Source organism: Homo sapiens, chromosome 3 (assembly GCF_000001405.40).
Source record: "Homo sapiens chromosome 3, GRCh38.p14 Primary Assembly".
NCBI lineage: Eukaryota > Metazoa > Chordata > Mammalia > Primates > Hominidae > Homo > Homo sapiens.
The window spans coordinates 4,662,011-4,686,227 of NC_000003.12; the positions used below are offsets into that span (position 1 = coordinate 4,662,011).

General features: G+C 42.3%; 1 protein-coding gene across 4 annotated transcripts in view; it reads left to right on the forward strand.

Moving 5' to 3' along the window:
- Positions 1–24,217, forward strand: part of ITPR1 (inositol 1,4,5-trisphosphate receptor type 1) — a 354,159-nt gene that overhangs the window by 168,663 nt on the left and 161,279 nt on the right. For 2 of the 4 annotated variants that reach the window (NM_001378452.1, NM_001168272.2), the window contains 16 exon segments: positions 72–232; positions 1,055–1,196; positions 3,128–3,286; positions 5,367–5,539; positions 7,644–7,763; positions 8,719–8,916; positions 11,126–11,377; positions 12,192–12,333; positions 13,058–13,238; positions 14,604–14,791; positions 18,543–18,681; positions 19,354–19,408; positions 21,376–21,541; positions 21,618–21,788; positions 22,271–22,336; positions 23,059–23,196. In NM_001378452.1, coding sequence (NP_001365381.1) covers positions 72–232; positions 1,055–1,196; positions 3,128–3,286; positions 5,367–5,539; positions 7,644–7,763; positions 8,719–8,916; positions 11,126–11,377; positions 12,192–12,333; positions 13,058–13,238; positions 14,604–14,791; positions 18,543–18,681; positions 19,354–19,408; positions 21,376–21,541; positions 21,618–21,788; positions 22,271–22,336; positions 23,059–23,196 — 2,451 coding nt within the window. 4 annotated transcript variants of the gene reach the window in all.

Consider the following 24,217-nt stretch of genomic DNA (forward strand, 5'->3'; position numbering starts at 1 on the left):
TGTAGTGTTTGATTAAAGTCTTATCCTTCCCATCCAAGAGATTATCTCACAAGGACCACCTTGAATTTCAGATTGGCACCTCTCCTGTGAAGGAGGATAAGGAAGCATTTGCCATAGTTCCGGTTTCTCCTGCTGAAGTTCGGGACCTGGACTTTGCCAATGATGCCAGCAAGGTGCTGGGCTCCATTGCTGGGAAGCTAGAGAAGGGCACCATCACCCAGAATGAAAGGAGGTGAGCACTCCCGCATGCTCAGCACAGCCGCCCTCCCGCACTGAGAGTTTCTGACATCCATGGGGTGGAGTGAGAGAATGGTGACTCTGAACAGCTAAACATGGGGTAGCAGGCCTTAGCATTTATGGGTGGCTTCAATGTGTAACTTTTAAGAAATAGTACTTTTGCATTCATTTTTTGAGTCTCTAAAATTATGAAGATCAGGTGTAGTGGCTCACACCTGTAATCCCAGGACTTTGGGAGGCTGAGGTGGGTGGATTACTTGAGGTCAGCAGTTCGAGACCAGCCTGCCTAACATGGTGAAACCCCATCTCTACTAAAAATACAAAAATTAGCCAGGCATGATGGCGGATGCCTGTAATCCCAGCTCCTCAGGAAGCTGAGGCAGAAGAATTGCTTGAACCCAGGAGGCGGAGGTTATAGTGAGCCAAGATCATACCACTGCACTTCAGCCTGGGTGACAAAGTGAGACTCCATCTCAAAATAATAATAATAATCAAGTGATGAAGACCTCACTCTCTCTTTCTGTCTCTAAGTTGGTCTCTAGAACCACATTACTAAATGTCAGGGAATGAGGTTACTCTGAGATAAAATTTTGTGTCTGATATTTCATAAAGGTGATCATCCTTTTGTGGACAATGATATGTTTTGTGTCTTTCACTCTCTTTGATACTTGGCTTCTGTTGTCAGTTTCAAAGAAATTGGAAAGTGTGGGTCTGCCCCTGTTTAACTGGCTCATTCGTCCAGAAGGCTTCCAAGGCAAAGCTTCCAGCCTGCTGAACACTGAACACATCTGTCTCTAATAGCGTCTTTCCTCCTAAGGTCTGTAACCAAGCTGCTAGAAGATTTGGTTTACTTCGTCACTGGTGGAACTAATTCTGGTCAAGATGTTCTCGAAGTTGTCTTCTCCAAGCCCAACAGAGAACGGCAGAAACTGATGAGAGAACAGAATATTCTCAAGCAGGTCGGTGAGATGTGGCGTACTGGGGATTTGGCTTTATGAGAAATCATAAAGCATGAGTGGTAGCTCATGCCTGTAGTCCCAGCACTTTGGGAAGCCGAGGTGGGAGGATCCCCTTGAGCCCAGGAAATGGAGGTTGCAGTGAGCTGATCGCATCACTGCCCTCCAGCCTGGGTGACAGAGAGAGAGCCTGTCTCAAAAGAGAAAGAAAAAGAGAAATCAATGGGATCATTGAGGGATATTGGTGATTCCCACCTCAAAGGCTTGATGAATTGATTTTTCAATAGACTATTTTCTAGAGCAGTTTTTAGGTTCTCAGCAAGATTGTGCAAAAAGTCCAGAGAGTTCCCATATCTCCTCTTGTCCTCACACACTTGGCCTCCCCCACTACCGACATCCTACATCACAGTGAGACATTTGTGACAATTTGGGGAATCAACATTGATACATCATTATCACCTGAAGTCCATAGTTTACATTAGGGTTCTCTCTTGGCATTTTATTTTCTATGGGTTTTGATAAATGTATGATGCCATTTAGTCACCATTAAAATATCTTACAGAATAGTTTCACTGCCCTGAAATCATCTGTGCTCCTCCTATTTGTCTGTCCTTCCTGCTAACCCTTCACAGCCATGAACGTTCTTACTGCATGCATTGTTTTCCCTTTACAGAATGTGACATGGTTGGAATCAAACAGTATGTACCCTTTTCAGAGGGGCAAATTTCACTTAGTGATATGCATCCAAGGTTCTTCAGTGTCTGTCCATGGCTTGATAGTTCAGTTCAATTGATTTTTAGCGTACTTGTTGGATATCAATCATGTGAGAGTTTACCTGTTAGGAACCTCAAGAAACATTCAGCTGACAACTTTATTTTCCTCAAAAATAATGTAAAGTTCAATGTGACCTTAAGGTTATTTCATACATTTGGGAGATTTGGCATATTCTATAAACTCAGAAGGCCCATATAGGCTCTTATAGAGTGCCCTATAAGTCACCACAGAATCTTTCCGTAAAGAATGAGTAGTGGTTGACAGGAAATACATAGATGATATTGTTGGATGTAAATGTAAATAAACTGGTATAAAGACAAATTAGAGGCAGTAAAGTGACAAATCCAGAGTAGATTAAATGCACAGAGATGCATACCATGTCCTTCTGTAACCCAACTGGAGATTAGCCCACAAACTTGCCACCGGAATTCCTGGCCACCAAAGCTAAAAGAGAAACATATTAGTTACAAGTCCCACTGGTCCCCATGGAACAAGGGATTTGAGATTATTTTTTCATGTTGGTCTATGATAGACAGAATTTATTAACAATCCATCTTGTTTCAACAAGAATTTCCAGTTCAAGAGTAAATGTCCAGCTGTTGTTTCATGTGATGATTCTCAAATTAGACCTCTGGCTTAATGCCCATGCTCATTTGTACAATAGTAATTCCTGAGAGGCAAAAAATAACTGACTCACTGGCAGGAGCCTTCATTGATTACTTGTGCTGGGCACTAGTGCGACTTAAAATTATCATCCATTTTCATCCTTACTACACCTCTGTGATATAGGCATTATTCTTTCCATTTTGCTGGTAAGGAAATGCGGGTTTACTTTGACTGTAATCTGTACTGCTAGGGAGTAATAAAGGCTTGTGTTTCCACCTAGAATCTGCTGATTCCATTGTCTGTGTTCTTAAACGCTTTGCTCTAAGCACTGTGCTGTTAGGTGTATGAGGACCAGTGGAGTCCAGTAGACTTAATTCAGCGCGTCTCCCATCTCAGTTGATGGGCTGAATGCAGTGTTCAGGTTATGGATGTGTTGGGATAGAGAAATTTTCTAATGTAATCCAGCCACCCTTGAGCTTGCATTACTTCCAAACAGAGGGTTAGCTTTGAAGCCCTAAGTGATTGCCATTTTTGCTTTTCATTTTCACAAACAGATCTTCAAGTTGTTACAAGCCCCATTCACAGACTGCGGTGATGGCCCAATGCTTCGGCTGGAAGAGCTCGGGGACCAGCGGCACGCTCCTTTCAGACACATCTGCCGGCTCTGCTACAGGGTGCTGAGACACTCGCAGCAAGACTACAGGAAGAACCAGGTTTGGATTAAGCATTGGTGGGATGTGGTTGTCAGTTTCCTCCCTGAAGTTTGTGAACTTTCCTCCTGAGTTTTTAGTGTCACATGTCTATTTATAGAATGGATGCAGAATAGTTCAGTGTTGAGCTTGCTCTTGGGAAGGAAACACAAGCCCAGGAAGAATATTATTACCTAATCGTTAAGAAACGTACTGGAGAATTCTCTTCTGCAGACATCTTTCTATGAGATTTCTGGTTTTGGAGTTGGTTTTACATTTATAGAATTTTTTATGACGTATTCCCTTAGGGCTTAGGGGTGAAATGATGCCATGTGTTTATATTAAAGATATAGTGGAGTCTTTTCTTCCTGCACCTTTAAAATTCTCCGTCTCTTTCTAGAAACATGATCTTTATTTTGTTTCTGATTCATGTTTTATGACATTCTAAGTCATTGTCTATAGAGATATCTTATACATAGTTATATTTTACATATTATACATAGTATATGTGTATTTATATACACACACAATGTATAGTCTCCTATGAAATAAATGTCCTAGGAGCTCCAAACAACCTTCAGATTCTAAGAAAACCTGAGAACTATATTGCTACATCATTGGTTCTTAACTGGGGGTAATTTTGTCCCCCAAAGAATATTTGGCAACATCTGGAGACCCTTTTGAGTTTTATAACTTCATGGTGCTGCTGGCATCTGGTGAGGGGAGGCTAGGGATGCTCTCAAACACCCAGCAGTGCCAAGGACATCCCCACACAACCAAGAATTATCCTGCCTAAAATGTCAGTAGTGCTGAGGTTTAGAAAATTTGTGCCACATGGAGTACCGTAGGCATGCAAAATGATGCTTATCATAACCTTGACTCTTACCACTTTATGTGAACTATCCCTGCCTTTTGGGGCAAAAGGCTTTTGTTTTTAAGGTTTTGACTGCCACTATACTGGACTTTTAGAGTTTTTTCTTTGTAATTAAAGGTTTTTGTCATGTCATCATAAAGATAGTGTTGATCTTGAATAGTGCTTTTTTTGAAGTGTATCAAGCTGTGATTGCTTTAAATCCACCTTCAGTGCGTTGATACTGTAATCCAATAGCCAGAGAGATTTTATTCTGTTCCTCTCTCCCATCTTCAGATGAGGATACATCTGGGTCTGTGGGGTGTGTCAAGACACTTTGCTTGTACATGAGGAAACAAACTAGTTACTCTTGGAATTGCTGGATTAGACATCTTTGCTTAGTTGTTTTCGGATCCTTTACCAGTTGGCAGATGATAAGTTCCTACACAATGCCTCCTTATAGAATACAGGCTGAAAACCATGGCCTGTTTTCATTATGTTAATCCTAAATAGTTAACCGGGATTTAGGAATTAATGGGAAAAAAATTAAAGCAAGTTTCAAGGGCCACTTGAATTTTGAGCAAGCAGTCTATCTTGGCCAGGGAAGCATCTTTGAACAGAAACAAACAGGTATTTGTAAGAGATTTCCTTGAGTTCACAAATATTTCTATGGAATGTGATAGCTGATCCCAAAAGAGAGAAACCAGAGATGTATTCATGAGTTCCATGCATATGATGGATTTTCTTAGGTATTTATTCCTGACCTTCTTATGCTACTCATTGACTTTAAAAAAGTATTTTTACCACAAATAAAGGAAATGAAACAGGGTAACATTGTTCCAGATCTCCAGGTAGGCTTTATCTGTGTTTATTTAGCAGCACAGATCACTGGGGGCACAGTTAAGTCCTCTTGAATTAGGAATACGTTTAGAGCTGAAAACCAGCTTTGGACCTTTTTGAAAAATAAATCACTAGATTAAAATTTATACTGTGCACTTAATAAAATATCCACGTGTAAATACAGGCTATTTTGCTTAATTACATTTGTGTGGCAGGCTTAGAAAAGTAAAGGATGTGAAGGAGTTTGCAGCTGTTGCCCTAGGATAGAAAGTTGTAGGAAGACCCTCCCTTATACTGTAATGTCTCTTAGGGGCAGTAGTTCTCATCAGGAAACATTGCTGCTTTCTTTAGTCTACGCTTAACCATATTGTCATTTATCCTTCCTACTGACGTCTCTTTTCTCTCCTTATAAAGGAGTATATAGCCAAGCAGTTTGGCTTCATGCAGAAGCAGATTGGCTATGATGTGTTGGCTGAAGACACTATCACTGCCCTGCTCCACAATAATCGGAAACTCCTGGAAAAACACATTACCGCGGCAGAGATTGACACATTTGTCAGCCTGGTGCGAAAGAACAGGGAGCCCAGGTGAGGCGGGAGTGGGGTCCATGCAGGATGGTGTCTCTGCCTGTAAGATGCAGGGACTTAGCTGGTGCTTTTTACTACGTTTCCTTGTGCTGCTAGTGACAAGTTTTGATTAGTTAGGTCTGGAGAGGCTTTTTGATGAGTAGTGGCAAGAACTTGGTGTTAAAATGAGACCTGGGGGTGCATTCCTAGCTCCAGTGTGTCCCACCTGGATGAGCTTGGGTTTTTTCCTGAACTTTAATTTCCTTATCTGCTAAATGGGTAGTTATGAAAATTAAATGAGAATAAACGCAGGTGACGTGCAGGCACTTAGTGGATGCAGAGGAAATGACAAATTGTTGGCCACTCATTCACTTTTTAAAAAATGTTCTTAATTTTAATTTTTAATTTTTGTGGGTACGTAGTAGGTGTATATATTTATGGGGTACATGAGATGTTTTGATGTAGGCATGCAATGTGTAATAATCACATTGTAGAGAATGGGGTATCCATCCCCTCAAACATTTATTTTTTGTTACAAAGAATTCAGTTCTATTCTTTTAGTTATTTTAAAATGTACAATTAAATTATTGACTGTAATTACCCCATTTACCTACAAACAGTAGGTCTTATTCATTCTGTAATTACCCAATTTACCTACAAACAGTAGGTCTTATTCGTTCTTTCTATTTTTTTTTTTTTTTTTTTTACCTGTTAACATCCCCACCTCCCCCCTGCCCTCCCACTATCTTTCCCAGCCTCTGGTAACCATCCTTCTACTCTGTGTCCATGAGTTCAATTGTTTTGATTTTTAGATCCTACAAATAAGTGAGAAGATGCGATGTTTGTCTTTCTGTGCTTGGCTTATTTCACTTAGCATTATGACCTCCTCCAGTTCCATCCATGTTGTTGCAAATGACTGGATCTCACTCTTTTCATTCCCTTTTTCTTTTTTTTTTTAAGATGGAGTCTCGCTCTGTCACCCAGGCTGGAGGGCAGTGGCGAGATCTCAGCTCACTGCAACCTCCGCCTCCCGGGTTCAAGCAATTGTTCTGCCTCAGGCTCCCCAGTAGCTGCGACTACAGGCACGTGCCACCACACCCAGCTAATTTTTGTGTTTTTAATAGAGACGGGGTTTCACCATATTGGCCAGGCTGGTCTTGAACTCCTGACCTCGTGATCTGTCCGCCTTTGCCTCCCAAAGTGCTGGGATTACAGGCGTGAGCCACCGCGCTCGGCCTCATTCACTTTTTAGCACCTCTTGCTTATCAGTTAAACACTCCCCTCCCTCAGTATAATCAGTAAGAGTCTTGCAAGTTCAGTTGTTGGTTGAGCGTTTTTATTATAGATTAGTGAATTCTATTGATTGTATCTCATTCACACAGATCTGCTCCTCTTTCGTACACCCTCTCCCCATTTCTTTCCCCTTCTCTTGTCCTTCTAATTAAGACCCATATTTTCAGTTGAAGCGGGAAGCAATTTACAATGTGGGTGTCACAAATGATTACAATGGAGCACGGACACAGTTGCTGTAAAAACACCTACTACCACCCTTGAAAATAACCCGCATTTTCTGGAGCCTGCTCAAGGGCTCAGGTAGTGAGCAATGGAAGCACTTCCGTTAATTATCTCATTTAATCCGCAGGACAGCCCTCAGAAGTGACACATTATCCTTTTCTGTAGACGAGCATCAATTAAAGCACAGTGAAATTAGTAATTTCCCCAAATGAACGCTCCATAGCAGAACTCCGCTAATAAGATCCTAACTGGGCTTCCAACACACGTAGCCAAACATCAGGGCGTTGCCTCTCACCACTGTGGTTCCCCTGTGTCTCCACCACACCTTCCTTATGTGAGCTGCTTTCTTGTCTTGTTCCTTCTTCTCATCTTTGCCTCATCACCTCTTCCTTGACCACAGCCACTCCTGTCTTTCCTTCTTGTTTCCTCTTCCTTCTTTCTGGCATGTGGCTTTCTGGTGATGCCATAAACATTGGCATCAAGACTTAGAATGCTGCTGACATGTCTTGGTAAAGGTATGTTGGACCTGTGCACTTAAGGAAGAATTGGGGTCCAGGAGCCTAACCTCTGCTCTATCTACAGAAAATGTTTTGTTTCTGTTTCTGTTTAGATTCTTAGATTACCTCTCCGACCTCTGTGTCTCCATGAACAAATCAATTCCAGTGACCCAGGAACTGATATGTAAAGCTGTGCTGAACCCCACCAACGCTGACATCCTGATTGAGACCAAGTGAGTGGGGAGCCAGGGTTTAGATGGAAAACATGGGGTTCATTCAGTGTTGGTGCTCATGAGGAATAAAACCTAGCCCTATCATTTTTTGAGTTGATCTAAAGTCAGTGTGGCTGGCATTTGATCTTCTTATTGGAAAAGTCTTGATTAGGAGAATTCCCGAATTTGATTTTGGTGTCACCTCCTCTTCATAGTGGTGTCACTTATTTTGCATACAAGTTTAGAAGTCATGTAAACTCACCGGGGAGCATTTTATACAGCTACATTTTAAGAGTTTAAAACTCTTTGTAAGTGTGACCATCAATTTAAAATTTCAAATGACATAATGAATATTCAGTGTTAAGATTAAGTCAGTGTTGGGAGGAGTTTTAAATTATTACTGTTCAGAACATGTTTATTGGTCTGCAGAATTTTTGTTACCAGTAGTAATTCATTTTTGGCAAAGGAGCAGTTTTCCTGAGAAGTACAGTGCCGGTAATATGGACAGCCTTAAAAAACATACTAAATTACGTCCTGAGCTAGTGATACTTCATTGATTCACATGTATAACTCAGTTTTGGGCTTGGGCTAATGCAGGGTTTTTCAGTTTAGGTATTTTCACATTTCGGGCTTGGTAATTCTTTGTTGTGGGGCTGTGCTAGGCACTGTAAAATGTTCAGCAGCATCCCTGGCCCCTACCCACTTAGATGCCAGTAGCACCTCTCCATTTCGGTTGTGACAACCAAAAACCTGTCCAGAGACATTGCCTGGTGTCCACTGGGGGCAGCAGCACCATAGTCGAGAACCACTGGGTTACAGTATATGAAGATGTTAATGTCAGGCTCTCTGCGGCTCTGCCCTTGGGGGAAATACAAAACAAAAAGTGTCTTTCCATGTGTCTTTATGCTGAAAGTAAAGCTAGATCTCAAAGTATTTTTAAAAATAGTAACTTTTCCCTCCTCCTCTTGTTTTCTAGGTTGGTTCTTTCTCGTTTTGAATTTGAAGGTGTCTCTTCCACTGGAGAGAATGCTCTGGAGGCAGGAGAAGACGAGGAAGAGGTGTGGCTGTTTTGGAGGGACAGCAACAAAGAGATTCGCAGCAAGAGTGTGAGGGAATTGGCTCAGGATGCTAAAGAAGGGCAGAAGGAGGACCGAGACGTTCTCAGCTACTACAGGTGCGTGGGACACGTGTGGGGCTCAGATTGGGGTGCCCCAAAACAGTGGCACTTAGGAATTTGTTGCTCGTTTGTTGATTACTTCAAGGAATCACAAGGAGTCATCTTGTAAGATTGTCTAGAAAAAAGCCAGATGTGTGTTTTAGGAGTTTGGAGTGTAAGATTTCAGTTAGTTGACATCTGGATGTGGCTGGTTCCCAAAAAGGATGAGTGCTTGCCTCAGTCCCTGGTGATAGTTTATCCTTCAGCAGCATGGCCCATAGATATGGTGGTAGGTACGTAAGAGGCAGGCTGTGGGGTCACATCCCTACCTCTCCGCTTACCAGTTTTTTGACATTGGCCAAGTTTGATTTTATGCTCTAATTTCTTTATCTGCAAAATGAAGGTGATAGTGCCAATCTCACCAAATGTTTATAGACAGAGACAGAAGATGTGTGTGTTTGTATACACATATATCTACACATTCATCCATGTATCTTTCTATAACTACACAAATATATAATAAAAAGCATGTACTTACACTAATACTTCCAATTCCATTCCAACACCATAGGATTTATTCTAGCCTTCACCTTTTCCATTTCATGACTCCCTCCAGCTGCCACGATTCCCTGTATGTTTACCCATCTGCCCGTTTCCCTGTGTGTACCTGTCTCACCTCTGCCACCCACCTCCACGGTCCCCAGTGTCTCCTTGGCTCCAGCTGTAAGACCTGCCAGTCCTGCCACCTGAAGGGAAGGGAAGGGGAAGAAAGAAAGGAAGTGAACCAATTAATACTTTTAAAAGAAAAGGAAAGGGAAGATAAAGCAAGGCTTTTATTATTTTTTAATAAAATAAATAAAACTGCAGATAAAATGCCTTTTCTTGCCTCCTGTATTCTGTTCTTTCATTCATGTGTGATGTACGCATCCTATCCACATTCTCTGTGTGCTGCATTTGTATGCATCTGTAAATCATATGTAGTATTTTATCTCTACTTAAAATTTTATATAAATGGGACTGTACTCCAAATACCATTCTAAAACTTGCCTTATTTATTCAATACGGGTACTGAAGCCATATTGAATATATCTGCGTTAATAGAGATTAATCCATTTCTGTAATTTGGACTGTTGGATGATATTCTGTTTTATTGATTTATCACATTTTCATCGCTGTTTGATATTTGATCACATGCTGCAGTTCTTCATGTCAGGAAACATCTTCATTCAAATTTTTCTGAGTATATGTATGAATTTCCATTCCACACTGGGAGGTGGGCTTGGAGGATATTCATATTTTAAGCTTTACTAAGCAATTCTAAATTGGATGTGTCAGTGTACACACCCACCAGTTGTAGACGACAAGCTTTGTTTCTTCATGTCTTTGTTAACCTTGAATATCATGATGCTTTTTAATTTTTGGTAATTTTATAAGTGTGAAATAGACTCATGTCTACACTTGCATTTCCCCGACATCTAATGAGGCTGAGAATGTCTTCAAATCATGATTATTAGAAATACATAGAGTTTTTAATTCAGAAGGCAGTATTTTGAAAGCCTGTGGCTTTCTCGTTATTTCACATTTCAAGTATGTTTACTCTTTCAGTGTTTGATGAATCTTCTCCCAAGTGAATGAGAAAGAGTGCCTTAATTGGTCAGGTTCCAGTTAACAACATTCACTTGCAATTGGATGAAGATGAAAAGTGAGGAGTCTCCTACTTTTGTAAATGAAATGTTTTTTTACACGTGTAGGAATTAGAGTGACTTACATGATATAAGATCTTTAAAATGTTATAAAATTTCTAATTAGGCTGAATATGTGTGATATCTTGAACATTTCCTACATGGTCTTTACTGTATAAAACACAGCTGAAGGGAAAGAAATAGACAACCATCTTAGGCCTTAGCATTCCCCCCGTTTATTTTAAAAAGTAAACATTAAGGACCTAGTGGAATTAGGTCGTCACATAATTGCTCCAACACAGCTGGATAGACATGTGTTCCTGTTGGCTGTCAACCCACACTCTACTGCACAGCTTGAATAGTTCTTTTATCTGCTTGGTACCAAAGCCAAAATCCTGGTATACAAGAGCAATTTAGGGGTGTTGATGTATGAGTTTAGTTGGCCAAATGTCACTCCCATGACAGTCAGGGCTGCCCAGACGACCCTTCATTCATCCTGAATGATTTCTGGAGCGTGAGCTGTGTGCCCTTGTTCCTTCCTCTAGATATCAGCTGAACCTCTTTGCGAGGATGTGTCTGGACCGCCAATACCTGGCCATCAACGAAATCTCAGGCCAGCTGGATGTCGATCTCATTCTCCGCTGCATGTCTGACGAGAACCTGCCCTATGACCTCAGGGCGTCCTTCTGCCGCCTCATGCTTCACATGCATGTGGACCGAGATCCCCAGGAACAAGTCACCCCCGTGAAATATGCCCGCCTCTGGTCGGAGATTCCCTCGGAGATCGCCATTGACGAGTGAGCCTGGCACCTGAAAACCTCACTTTACATTATTCTGTGCGGCAGTAGATAGCCCCATATGGTCTCATTAAATCTTAGAAGAAAGATGAAGTGTTGGTTTTTTCTTCAAGCTTAAAATAAAATTAAGTGGATGGCAAATATTTTTTTCCTCAAGAATGTGAAAGATGGCATGATTATGTTTTTGGTTTTTGTTTGTTTGTTTGTTTGTTTGAGATGGAGTCTCACTCTGTTGCCCAGGCTGAACTGCAGTGGCGCAATCTCGGCTCACTACAAGCTCTGCCTCCCGGGTTCGTGCCATTCTCCTTCCTCAGCCTCCCAAGTAGCTGGGACTACAGACGCCCACCACCACGCCCGGCTAATTTTTTGTATTTTTAGTAGGGACGGGGTTTCACCGTGTTAGCTAGGACGGTCTCGATCTCCTGACCTTGTGAGCCGTCCACCTCGGCCTCCCAAAGTGCTGGGATTACAGGCGTGAGCCACCGCGCCTGGCCCCGATTGTATTTTTTATATCTCATTTATCTCCTCTTTCATTCTGCAAATATTTAAGTGTGTACTATGTGCCAAGCTCAAGAAATATATCAGTGAACAAACTAGAAAGCAATCTCTATGCTAGTTGGTGGAAGACAGACAATAGGCAAGATAAACGACTCAAATATATAGTTGGTGATATATGCTAAGGAGGGAAAAAATAAAGTAGGGTCAAGGGATGCCAAGGGTTAGGGGATGTTGACTTTTGAAGCTGAGTGACCCAGGAAGACCTCTCTGGGAATAACTTGAAATTTTGTTTCCTTTCTTTCTCCTTTCTTTTCAGCTATGATAGTAGTGGAGCTTCCAAAGATGAAATTAAGGAGAGATTTGCTCAGACCATGGAGTTTGTGGAGGAGTATTTAAGAGATGTGGTTTGTCAGAGGTTCCCTTTCTCTGATAAAGAGAAGAATAAGCTTACGTTTGAGGTAACTCATGATGAAATCTTCTATGTGTATTATCTGCCTCTCAGTGGTCATTTTTCTATGGGGCAAATAGAAAATATGTGAGTAGGTTGTGATTTTGGTCATGATGCTCTGGTTTTGTAATGGAAAGGAATTCAGCTTGGTTTTGTTCCAGAATAAAATAAAACGGATACCAGTCACATGGCTTAATAGTAGTTATGGGCTTAAAAGAAATATACAAGGTGACTTGAACCACATAAAATGATAGAACATCACTTTGTGTTAAAACTGACAAGAGAGAAACACTGTGCTTGCAATCTGCCATAGCTTAATCATTTGCAGAACATAAATCCTTGTTACTTCTGAGTTAACAACGTTTCTGAGACTGCTTTTGCCTTTTAAGAGCTGTATTGCTGAGGATCGCAGAGTGTTATTATCTGTGTCCTTATTGGGAATAACTCTGCTTGCCTGGTGTTAATATTATCCTTGGGAAGCTGTGTAGAGCAAATGATGAGGTCTTTTTTTTTTTTTGATTAGTCATCAGAGCAGATCAGTAGCTTTCCATTTCTTATTTTTCCTCCTTATGAAACAAAATGAAAATTTATCAGAAAGTGCAAGGAAAATACATGCCTTCTCTTACCATAAGGAAGGTCCAAGTCTGTCATTTCTAAACTGGTCAACATCAAATGGAATTGAAGGGGATGCAGTTTATGTAATACCGTCTTCTTCTTTTATTTTAATACAATAGGTTGTAAATTTAGCTAGGAATCTCATATACTTTGGTTTCTACAACTTCTCTGACCTTCTACGATTAACTAAGATCCTTCTGGCCATATTGGACTGTGTACATGTGACAACAATCTTCCCCATTAGCAAGATGGCGAAAGGAGAAGAGAATAAAGGTAACAATGATGTGGAGAAGCTGAAGAGTGAGTATCTGAGGGTGCCCATACATCTGAGAGATGCCCTCCAGCCTTTCCTGTTATGCTCATGTCATACCCTATATGTGATGCCACATCCTTTCTTTGTTCATTCCTTCCCAACTTTTCATCGTGAACATTTTCAAATACTGTGTAAAGAAAAGCGGAAAGAACAGTACGATGGAGTCCCACGTACCCATGACTTTGAGTCAACAGTTATTCACGTTTTGCTGAATTTTATTTTGTATTTATGTGTATTTATGTGTATTTTATTTTGTATTTATGTGTTTATGTATGAGTCGTGTGTATATTTTGTTGAACAATTTGAAAGTTACTTAACACTTTGAATGTTTATATAACAAATACATGTCCTATCATTGTTCTTGACATTCGTGAGACCCTTGATAATAATATTTGTTTAGGATGTAAGAAAATCCAGGCTTCTATCTTGGTGGCTATTTCCACTTTGTGAGAAGGACAATCTGCCTTTGCATGTTTATTTCTTCCTCGTTTTAGGGTCAGAGTAGGCAGATATTGGTATCATGTATCAATTATTGTTAACTGGTCTTCTGCAGCTAGAACAGAAAGAAATACATTGACTTATCTCTATTTGCTAGGTCTTGTGCTGAGTCATGTTGCATTATACCATTTAGTTCTTTTGTTGAGCTCCTTTATTTCCATTTTGTAGATGAGGAGACTGAGGCTTAGAGGTAGTATGGTGCACCTAAGGTCAAGCAGCATCAGGATTTGTACCTTGTTAACTTTATGTACCTAGTTCTGTGCTCATAACAAGCACATAGTTGATGATCAATAAAATTTGGGCAGGGCATAGTGATTCATACCTGTAATACTAACATTTTGGGAGGCTGTAGCAGGAGGATTGCTTGAGGCCAGGAGTTCGAGACCAGGCTGGGCAATATAGAGAGAACCTATCTCTACCAAAAAAAAAAAAAAAATTAGCTGGGTGTGGTGATGCATGCCTATAGTCCTAGCTACTTGAGACGTTGAGGCAGGAAGATTGTTTGAGCCCAGAAGTTTGAGGCCACAGGGAACCATCATTGTGTCACTGCACTCCAGCCTAGGTGATAGAGGAAGATCCTGTCTCTAAAGAAAATTAAAAAAAATAAAATTTGATGGGCAAGTTAGTGCACAGAAATGCCCCTCTGGGGATTTTGAAGCCCGTGATCTTTCTGTTGCTCTCAGAAGCCCAGATTTTTGATGTGCATTTACCTTTCCAGGTTTCCAGGGTCCTGAGATTATGTTGGAATAGGGATATGTTAAATAATTTCTCTCAAAGAGCCCCTGCCCCTTGACATATGCCTCTGAGCATTCTCTAGAGACATTGTGACCGTGGTCTCTCCTGGCCTTTCCTAGGCAGTAACGTGATGAGATCTATTCATGGCGTGGGAGAGCTGATGACCCAGGTGGTGCTCCGGGGAGGAGGCTTTTTGCCCATGACTCCCATGGCTGCTGCCCCTGAAGGCAATGTGAAGCAGGCAGAGCCTGAGAAGGAGGACATCATGGTCATGGACACCAAGCTGAAGATCATTGAGATACTCCAGGTATCCACTAGCTGGAGCTGGGGTAGGGAGGGTATGTCACAGAGGCGCCATTCAGATCCAGTCCCTCTGTTCTGATGGAGCCCAAGGCTTTCTGGGAAGAAAATGGGGGCAAATCCTTAGCTCATCCCTCCGTGTCATTTATGAGCTGGCTCCTCTTAATCCCTTTACTGCTTTCTCCTACCCTCCCAACATGGCCATGTCCCTCCAGCCATGTCAAGACTTGCCATTGTTATCTTAGCTTTCCATGATCATTGGCCTCCATGCCAACCCTCTGCCTAGAATTCACTTACCTCTGTGTCTCCATGTAGCTGCATCTCTGCTTATTGATCATAACTAGGTTCAGGGTTCCATCAACTTTGCAAAGCCTTCCTCCCTTCTTCCCTTTTTCATTCAATCAACAAATATTTATTGAGACCAACTCTGTGCCAAGTCCCCTTAAGCACTGGGAGGGTCCAGCAATGAAAAAAATAGATGAAATTCCTGCTTCTCTAGAATTTACATTTTGATAGAGGGGCATGGGCATGTATTAAGAATAAGTGCTAAGAGACGTTAAAAAGTAAAGGAGGGTCAGGATTGTTTGGAGACACTGAGGACAGGGGGCTGGGGTTATTGTGTTTGGTGAGGTTATCAGAGAAGGCCTCTCCAGTACAGTGACATGATTACACACCTGAATGAAGTGAGGAGATAGCCACACAGATATCTTGGGAAAGGGTATCTGAGGCAGAGGGAGCAGCAAACACAAAGACCCCATGGTGAAGAGGGCACATTTGGGAACAGGTGGGGTTCAAGAGGGAATGGGAGAAGATCAAGTCGGGGAGTAAATATATATAGCTTCTTGGACAGATTGCCTGTAAGGATGCACAGAGAAGTGGGGACATGGGCAGAGAGCGATTGTTGGTAACATGGTTTATTTTTGTTGTAATATTTTTTAAGTGGGTGGGTTATAACAAGCTTGTATGGTGAATAGGAATGATCATGTATACAGGGAGAGTTTGTTGCTGTTTGGGGAGAGAATAATTGTAAGAGCAAAGTCCTTCTGTAGGCAAGCGGGGGTGGAATCTAGTATATAGGGAAGGCTTGGTCGTAGGCATGAAACCCTCCCAAGCCTCTCTACAGCTTTGAACCCCACCCGACAACCTGCGCTTCCCTCTTTCTGTGCCGTGTAGGTAACTTTTATTCATCAACAAAATCATCTGCTCCTTAATGGAAAGAATTATGTGTTAGCACCTTCTTTTTTTTTATCCCATGTTGCCTGATCTCAACCCCAACAGATGTAGTAGAAATTCATAAATGTTTAAGATCTGGGGGTTTTATTTTTTAGTCTGAAATCACCCTTTACCAATGCTTTGAAAGTTTTAATGGGTTGTCTCAAAGTCATGTAATTAGGACGATAAAGACAGCTTAAGTAAAGGAGAAATCTTACTGAATTTATGCCTGAGCAACAGTAGAGAAAGATTCCTTTTTTAAAACTTTATTTTTTAATAAATTTTATTTTTACTTTTATTTTCAATTTTTTTTGTCGAGACAAAATATACATATAAAATTTGCAGGCCATGGTCCATGTGTTCCAAAGTGGTGTCTTGGACGTTTATCAGAAACGACGCAGTGCAAAACTTGGTCACATCTTGAGGTCCACTCACCGTGGTGACCTAAGAAGGATTGGTCGATTGAGTCATTCTTTCCACGGGTACTTATTGACTCCCTACCATGTGCACTGTGAGGAATGCAAAAATGATTCGAACAGGGGCTCCATCCACAGGGGTTTATAGTCTGATGGGAGAATAAGGTATGATGAAGCTGCGTGGATGTGGAAATAAAACCACCAGAAAGTTCTTCTGAGACTGGAGTCCGGGAGTGGGGTCATGTGACTCCACATGGTAAAGATCAGAGAAGGGTTGATGGAGGAGGTAGGGTTTCATCTGAGCCTTTAAGGTGCATGGGCTTTGTACATGGAGAAACAAGGGCCCGTTCTCAGGTGGATGGAGCAGCCTGAAGCCGAGTACCATGGGATGCAGGTCAGTGGGCAGTTCTTGCTGAGCAGAGACATAGAGTGTGCTGAGGGGAAGTTGTCAGAAGTGAGTTTGGAAAGGAGGACCAAGCCACACTGCACAGAGCTTTGGGTGTCTAAAATGCTAAGGCTTATTCTCTGTTGAGCCTTTGAAAGTCTTCAAGCGGGAGCTTAACATAAGAACAAGTGGTTAGGAGGCTGATTTGGTGAATTTGGTTCTGTAAATGGAACAGGCAGGAGATAATGAGGCCTTGAGCAGGGAGAAACGGCAGTAGGGGAGAACTCTATGAGAAGCGGTAAATGGAGAACCACCAGGACTTAGTCTCTGATTAGATGTGTGTCCAGGAAGGAGGCGCTGATGATCAGGCAACTGACTGAGGTTGAGGAAACCCAGGCAGAAAGTAGATGAAGGCAAGACTGACAATGTTAGTGTGTTAGCGCTCTCCAGAGAAACAGAACAAATAGGATACATACAGATAGACAAGAGGGGGTTTATTATGGGAATTGGCCTCACGCAGTTACGGAGGCCGAGAAGTCCCCCAGTCTGCCACAGCAAGCTGTGTCCCGGGAAAGCCAGTGGTGTGATTCAGCCTGAGTCCCAAGGCTGAGAACCAGGGGAGCTGAAGGTGTAACTCTCAGTCTGAGGCCAAAAGCCGGAGAACCTGGAGCTCTGATGGGCAGGAGAAGATGAGTGTCCCAGCTCCAGAACAGGTGGATTCGGTCTTCCTCCACCTGTTTGCTCTATCCAGGCCCTCCGTGGATTGGATGGTGCCCACTCACACTGGGTGAGAGCGGATCTTCTTTACTCAGCTCACTGATTCAAATGCCAGTCCATTCTGGAAACCCCCTCATAGATTTACCCGGAAATAAAGTTGTACAAGCTGTCTAGGTGTCCTTGAACCCAGTCAAGTTGGCATATAAAATTAACCATCGCAGTTACTTTTGTGAAACACTGAGTTTGAGGCCCTGGGAAGATAGCAAATAGGATGTCCAACAGTCTGTAGGACACATACACTGAGAGCATGGAGGCAGGCCAGAGACCTATCTCCCTCTGGAAGAGGTGATGGCCACTGGACTGGGAAAGGTTGCTGGGAGGCTAAGCAGAGACAAGGGGAGAACGGAAGGAAGAACGTGAGTGAGATCCCTACATGATGTCAGCTGCTCAATCTTTCTTTTTGGTTCTAGCAGCAATCCTGGGAAAAGTGACCCTGTGTTGGAATAAAGGGTGAGGGAATACAGGAGGCAAAAGAAGAGGGTGTCCAAGGGTTTGTACCCAAACCAGGGGAAACAACCAGAAACAGGAAATAGGAACCAAGCTAATTTTCCATAGTAAAAAACAAATTTTTTTTTGTTAATTCTCTTAAATCCAAAGCAGGCAACTTCACTCTTTTCAGTGTTAGGCCCAGAGTTGACATTCAATACTTACTGAAATGGAGTCTTGTTTTATAGACTCCATTTATGGAGCCAGGAGTGAGTGATTTAGTGTTCCAATTGTTAAATTAATTGCCAGGATGCTGAAGCTTACACTAGAGGCTAAGGTGCTATGGGCAGACTTCATATGCCCCATGGAAGTCTGCTGTTGTTAAAATGACTGTTGAAATCTAAGCCAAATACTTGGCTCACTTAGTGCTTAAGGTAATTGATGCAGCTGATACCAGGCCCCGCCAGTGTGTGGTGGCTTGGCAGAGTCAAGATGGTATGTTAATGTAACCAATCTGTTTCCATTTCCACTTGAATCTTTAGTTTATTTTGAATGTGAGGTTGGATTATAGGATCTCCTGCCTCCTGTGTATATTTAAGCGAGAGTTTGATGAAAGCAATTCCCAGACTTCAGAAACATCCTCCGGAAACAGCAGCCAAGAAGGGCCAAGTAATGTACCAGGTTAGTGATTCAGAATGGAATTTCAGCCATAGAATGGGACCTGGCTCTAAGGAAAATGGGGAGAGCAAACAGTATCTTCTAGAAAAAGGGTGAAAATGGTTTTGAGGATTATTGCACCAGGGCATCATCCTGGCAGTTACTCTTTTTGAGCAAGTGAATAATTGATAGAGCCCAGATTCCTTCTGGGTTGGATCTTGTTTCCTTCCATCTGGGAGTGTCTTAGTGATGAGACAGTTGAGGTTTCCAGCATTGTGGCTACCCACCTCCCCCGCAAAAATACCAAAATAAAAACAGTAACAAAAAACTCTCCAGGAGACTTCTTGACCACTAGCAGCTTTTACTCACTTTGGAAGTTTTTCCCTGCCCAGGAACTAGTGGTGACGGGAGATGGTAGGAGTAGAAATAATCCCATCTACCAAGCCCAAGCTTCCATGAGTGAGATCATTGCTGTCCTTTACCAGGGGACCATGCAGTGAGGGAGGAAGGGGCAGGAATGTGGAATATGTGGTTAATGTCATCTGGGTTAGTCACTCTGCATAGCTTTGCAATATAATGTTCTGGGAGATTTGGGGTTAACTCAACAGCTTTACCCTGCAAAACTTATGGATGAGTTCACCAGCAGCATGTTTGCAGACCTTCCTGCATCTGAAGTGGTATGTTCTAACTTTTCAGGTGCTCTTGACTTTGAACACATTGAAGAACAAGCAGAAGGCATCTTTGGAGGAAGGAAAGTATATTTTCAGTTACTGTTTTGTAGGGAAGGCTGCTCTTCCAGAGCTCTCAGAGGCCTTCCCTTTATTATGTTAGTAAATATTTAGTCTCTGGGCTTAGGTTGTTTTGGTGCTATCTTTGGAACTGTTAGTACTCAAGTCAGAGTTAACTTGGTTGGCTTGATTGGGAGGAGAGAGAGAGTGAGAGAGAGAGAGAGAGAAAGTGTGTGTGTGTGTGTGTGTGTGTGTGTGTGTGTCCCACCTAGGACAGAAAGGATTTAAGGAGATTTCTCAAAATACCTACATTACAAGATTATTTTTACATAGTGAGGAAATGCAATCAAAAGAAGAATAGAAAGAGAGAGGGGCTCAAAACAGAGTGAAGTTAGTAAGATCATGTCCTGCTGCTGCTGCTGGGCTACAATTTTATCCCTGAGCTCCTTACAGGCTATGCAACAAAGAAAGCAAAATCTGGTCTTTCATTGTTCCTAATATTAATGTATGAACCCCTTTAAAAAAAAACCGCACTGGTCAATTTTGACTTAAGACATTATTATAATTATGGAACTCTTATACCTCCAAGTATAAAATTTGGTATAAACACCATATGCACATAGTTCTTATAATTAGCACACTTGGTTTGATTATTGCTTTATAACATATTACTCCAAAAAACTTAAGGATTCAAACCACCACCATTTTATTAATACTTCTTACAGTCCTGTGGCTTGATTAAGCTGGATGGTTCTTCTGCTGGTGGTCACTGTTGGGTCTGTCATACTGTAGTGAGGTGGTAACTGGGGCTGGCACCTCCAAGTTGGATTATTCACATTTCTGGCACTATAGCAGAGATGCCTGCAAGGCCAGAACTTCTTTCTCTCTCTGTCCATGTGGATAGCTTGGGCTTCTTTACAGCACGGTGGCTGACTCAAAAAGCAAATGTTCTAAGAGGACAAGCCAACAGTATGCAAGTGCTAATTGGGCCTCTGCTTGCATTGCATCTCCTAATATCTTATTGTTCAAGCAAATCCCATGGCCAAGCTCATTGTCAGTGTGGGAGGGGACTACATAAGGGTTTGAACACTCTGTTGGGGCCCACCAGTGTTAATAGTCTACCTCAATGCTTAATATAAAACCTGTGAAATTTGAATTAGCAACATTATGTACTATGATGGAAGATGTTTTTCTGAAACTTAAACATGGTATTGTGAGTTTAGCATAATACAGGTTCCATGTGCTGTGTGATCACTCAGCTCTCCCGCCATTTTCCTCATAGTGAACAGCATTGAAACCTTCACACCTTTTTGGAATACATAGCATGAATACAGTATTTATAAGTCTTCTCTGTGCTTTTCTTATTAGCCAGCAACCAGGAAGTTTCCACCATTTGTCATTCATTTGACTCTAAACCCAATATAGGTGCAGACCCAATAATTGACTAGCAGTGCTCAGTTATGGAGTAGTCTGCCATTTGATCTAGGATATGCTTATTAATATTTAAATATAGTCAGGCATGGTAGTGCATTCCTATAGTCCCAGCTACTCAGTATGCTAAGGCAGGAGGATCATTTGAGCATAGGAGTTTGAATTCAGCCTGGGCAACATAGCAAGACCTCATCTCTAAAAACTAAATACATAAACTAATAACTTAGGAGAAACACATCCTCTTGCAGTTCTCAGACCACAGACGAAGCCCAGCAGAAGAACACCCTATGTAGATGTTGAGAATCTAATGCTAGTCTTGTCACTTTGGCTTAAAATTTGACTTATCTTTTAATATGACATCTTCCTTGTCCCCTCACCTCATAATATAGTTGAAGATGAAGCAAGGCTGTATTGTTAAAGGAGCTAATGAAAAGTGAAATTGCATGTCTGGAGATCACAGTGCTAGAAATGCAACTAGGTTAGGTGCATCTGGGCCCAAGGGGCGTGAGAGGAGGCATTTGTCATTCATTTGGCCTTTCCCCACCTTGTGCTCCTTTAGTGAGGAGAACACCCCACTGGACTTGGATGACCACGGCGGCAGAACCTTTCTCCGTGTCCTGCTCCACTTGACGATGCATGACTACCCACCCCTGGTGTCAGGGGCCCTGCAGCTCCTCTTCCGGCACTTCAGCCAGAGGCAGGAGGTGCTCCAGGCCTTCAAACAGGTAGCTCAGGTCACCCACGTGTGTGTTGTCTGTCCAAGAAGCTGTTGTGTGCACCTAACGGATTGCGTTCATTAAGGTTCAACTGCTGGTTACCAGCCAAGATGTGGACAACTACAAACAGATCAAACAAGACTTGGATCAACTGAGGTCCATCGTGGAAAAGTCAGAGCTTTGGGTGTACAAAGGGCAGGGCCCCGATGAGACTATGGATGGTGCATCTGGAGAAAATGAACATAAGAAAACGGAGGTGAGTGAAACACAAGTTATGCTGCCAAAGTGGATGGATGGGCTTCTCGAAACTAGGGAGCATCCTCTTCTGGTTTTAGGTATAAATGTGATAGGATTTATTTTCAAGAGATCTGCTTGTTAAGTCACCAAGATCACAAGCTGTTTGCCTAGGAAATAAGCTACGAATCAAAGTTTAGCTATGTCTCCTGTGCAGCCTTGGACCATGTAGAAGAGACTGCGATATTGAGTGAATTAGCACCAGGTTTCCCTTACAGACCCACTTGGGAATTGACCTGTTCTCTAGGCATGGCCCAGCCCACTACTATCCCTTCCCAAGGAAACCCATAGCAAGTAGGTAGATGACTGGGGCATAAGCCCAGCATGACTATTGTAAAACAGTATAGAACTCCCTTTCTTTCCTAAAGGTCGATGCTAACTGTAAAAAACTGACAGTAGCCCAAGAGTTGTACAGATCACACTTGTGTTCACTTTGGTTTCTAGGAGGGAAATAACAAGCCACAAAAGCATGAAAGCACCAGCAGCTACAACTACAGAGTGGTCAAAGAGGTAAGCTCCTCCCCCACCACCATTTTTCCTTTCTTTATGAATTCTCTAAGGAGCTTTAGTTTGTGATAGTCAAGTTGAAGGTACACACATTTGAGCTTTTTTCTTCATGTGGTTTAACAGGGAGAAAGTAGAGCTCAGAGGTTAAGCTCATGGGTTTTGGCATCAGATCTGGGCTCCACACCCAGCTCTTCTACTTATTATTTTTGTCCTCAGCTTCCTCACCTTTTGTAGGTGCAACCTTTCGTAGGCACCGCATATTTCTGAAGCTTTACAATTGAAGGAAGGACTAATTGAGAATACTGTCAGGGAGTCATCTAAGTGCCTGGTACACAGTGTCCCCACTGAGAGCTGTAGTTTTTTAGAAACCTTTGCGTACGCTGGTTCAAAGTTGGGAGGCTGGGAGCTTTGTGTGTTTTACCCCAGAGCAAACTCTTCCCAGGGTCTCGGCAATGATGCCAGGTCATTCCATTTTAAGCGATATCTCTGAAACTGTCCCACTTGTTGTTGAAGCCATAATCCCCTGCTTATTCTGGAAGACGTGACCTTAGTCTTATGGATTTGGCTTGATGGAGTCAACAGAAATGCCACATACTGAAGGAATTTTGTTTTACGTTTTTAATGCATTATAATCCCCTTTGCCTCCCTGCCCGCCACCACCCTCTGCAATCTTTTTCCAGCTATAGTTCCTAGTTTTCTGAGACTGATTTCTTTCATTCTACTAGATTTTGATTCGGCTTAGCAAACTCTGTGTTCAAGAGAGTGCCTCAGTGAGAAAGAGCAGGAAGCAGCAACAGCGTCTGCTCCGGAACATGGGCGCGCACGCCGTGGTGCTGGAGCTGCTGCAGATTCCCTATGAGAAGGTGAGCGGTGCCTCATGCACAGCAGCTGCTCTCAGGATGGGGCGGATCCCTGGGTTTCCCCAAACTCTTCACATCTGGATATTGTTAGTGAAGAAATGCATCCAGTGTGACTATTGTGACTACAAAGCAATTTCAGGTATTGATATGAAACAGAGCATCTGAAAAATAAAGTAAAATCACCCGTGAATAATCCTCATCCCCAGTTTTAAGATTCTGTAAAGAAAGAGAGTCCATTTATTCTCCATACTCCCAAGACATATTGGATAGAGACAACTTGGTCTGTGTCAGAGCTTAGAGCTATATCTACCCATGAGTTGGTGTGTTTCAATTTCATTTGCAATGTGACTCAACCAATTTAAGTATCACCAGCTATTAAGTGCATGTAGGAACATGGGATGTGCCCACTTTTGAAGTCCTCAGTAAGACGCTGACATCTGCTTAAGTATTTGGATTTATCAGGTGATGCTTTGATCTAGGTCTTCTTTTCTGTTGCTGGAAGTTGTACTTTGCCTCTAATTTTTCACATTAGCGTTTGTCATTGATACGTATTTGATTTGGGGAGGCAGGAGCAGGCTGACAGTGCTTTGCATGCATGTAGGCTGACAAGACACTTATGAAATCATTCATTCAAGCCTACAAGACCCACTCGGGTATTTGTGTTGTGCCCACTTGACAGATGAGGAGACTGAGGCTTGGGGAGGTTTAGAGGTGAAAAGCTCAGACTCAGGTCTCTTGAGTTGACTATTAACTGCTAGAGAGACTGATTTGCTAGAGAAGACTCACCTGATGAAGGCTCATTTCTAGGTGCTTGCAGGGTGCCAGGCGCCATGCTGAGGCCTTTATACACATTATTAGCTCATGCCATCCTCAAGACACGTGGATGAGATGGGTGGTGCTATCTTTAGCCCCATTTTAGATGAGAGAGCTGCAGCGGGAGAGGTTCAGTAACTTGCGTGGATGGCACAGCTGTGTAGAGTGAAACTGGCTCCACTTCACTGTGGATCTGGGGCCTGCTGCCTTC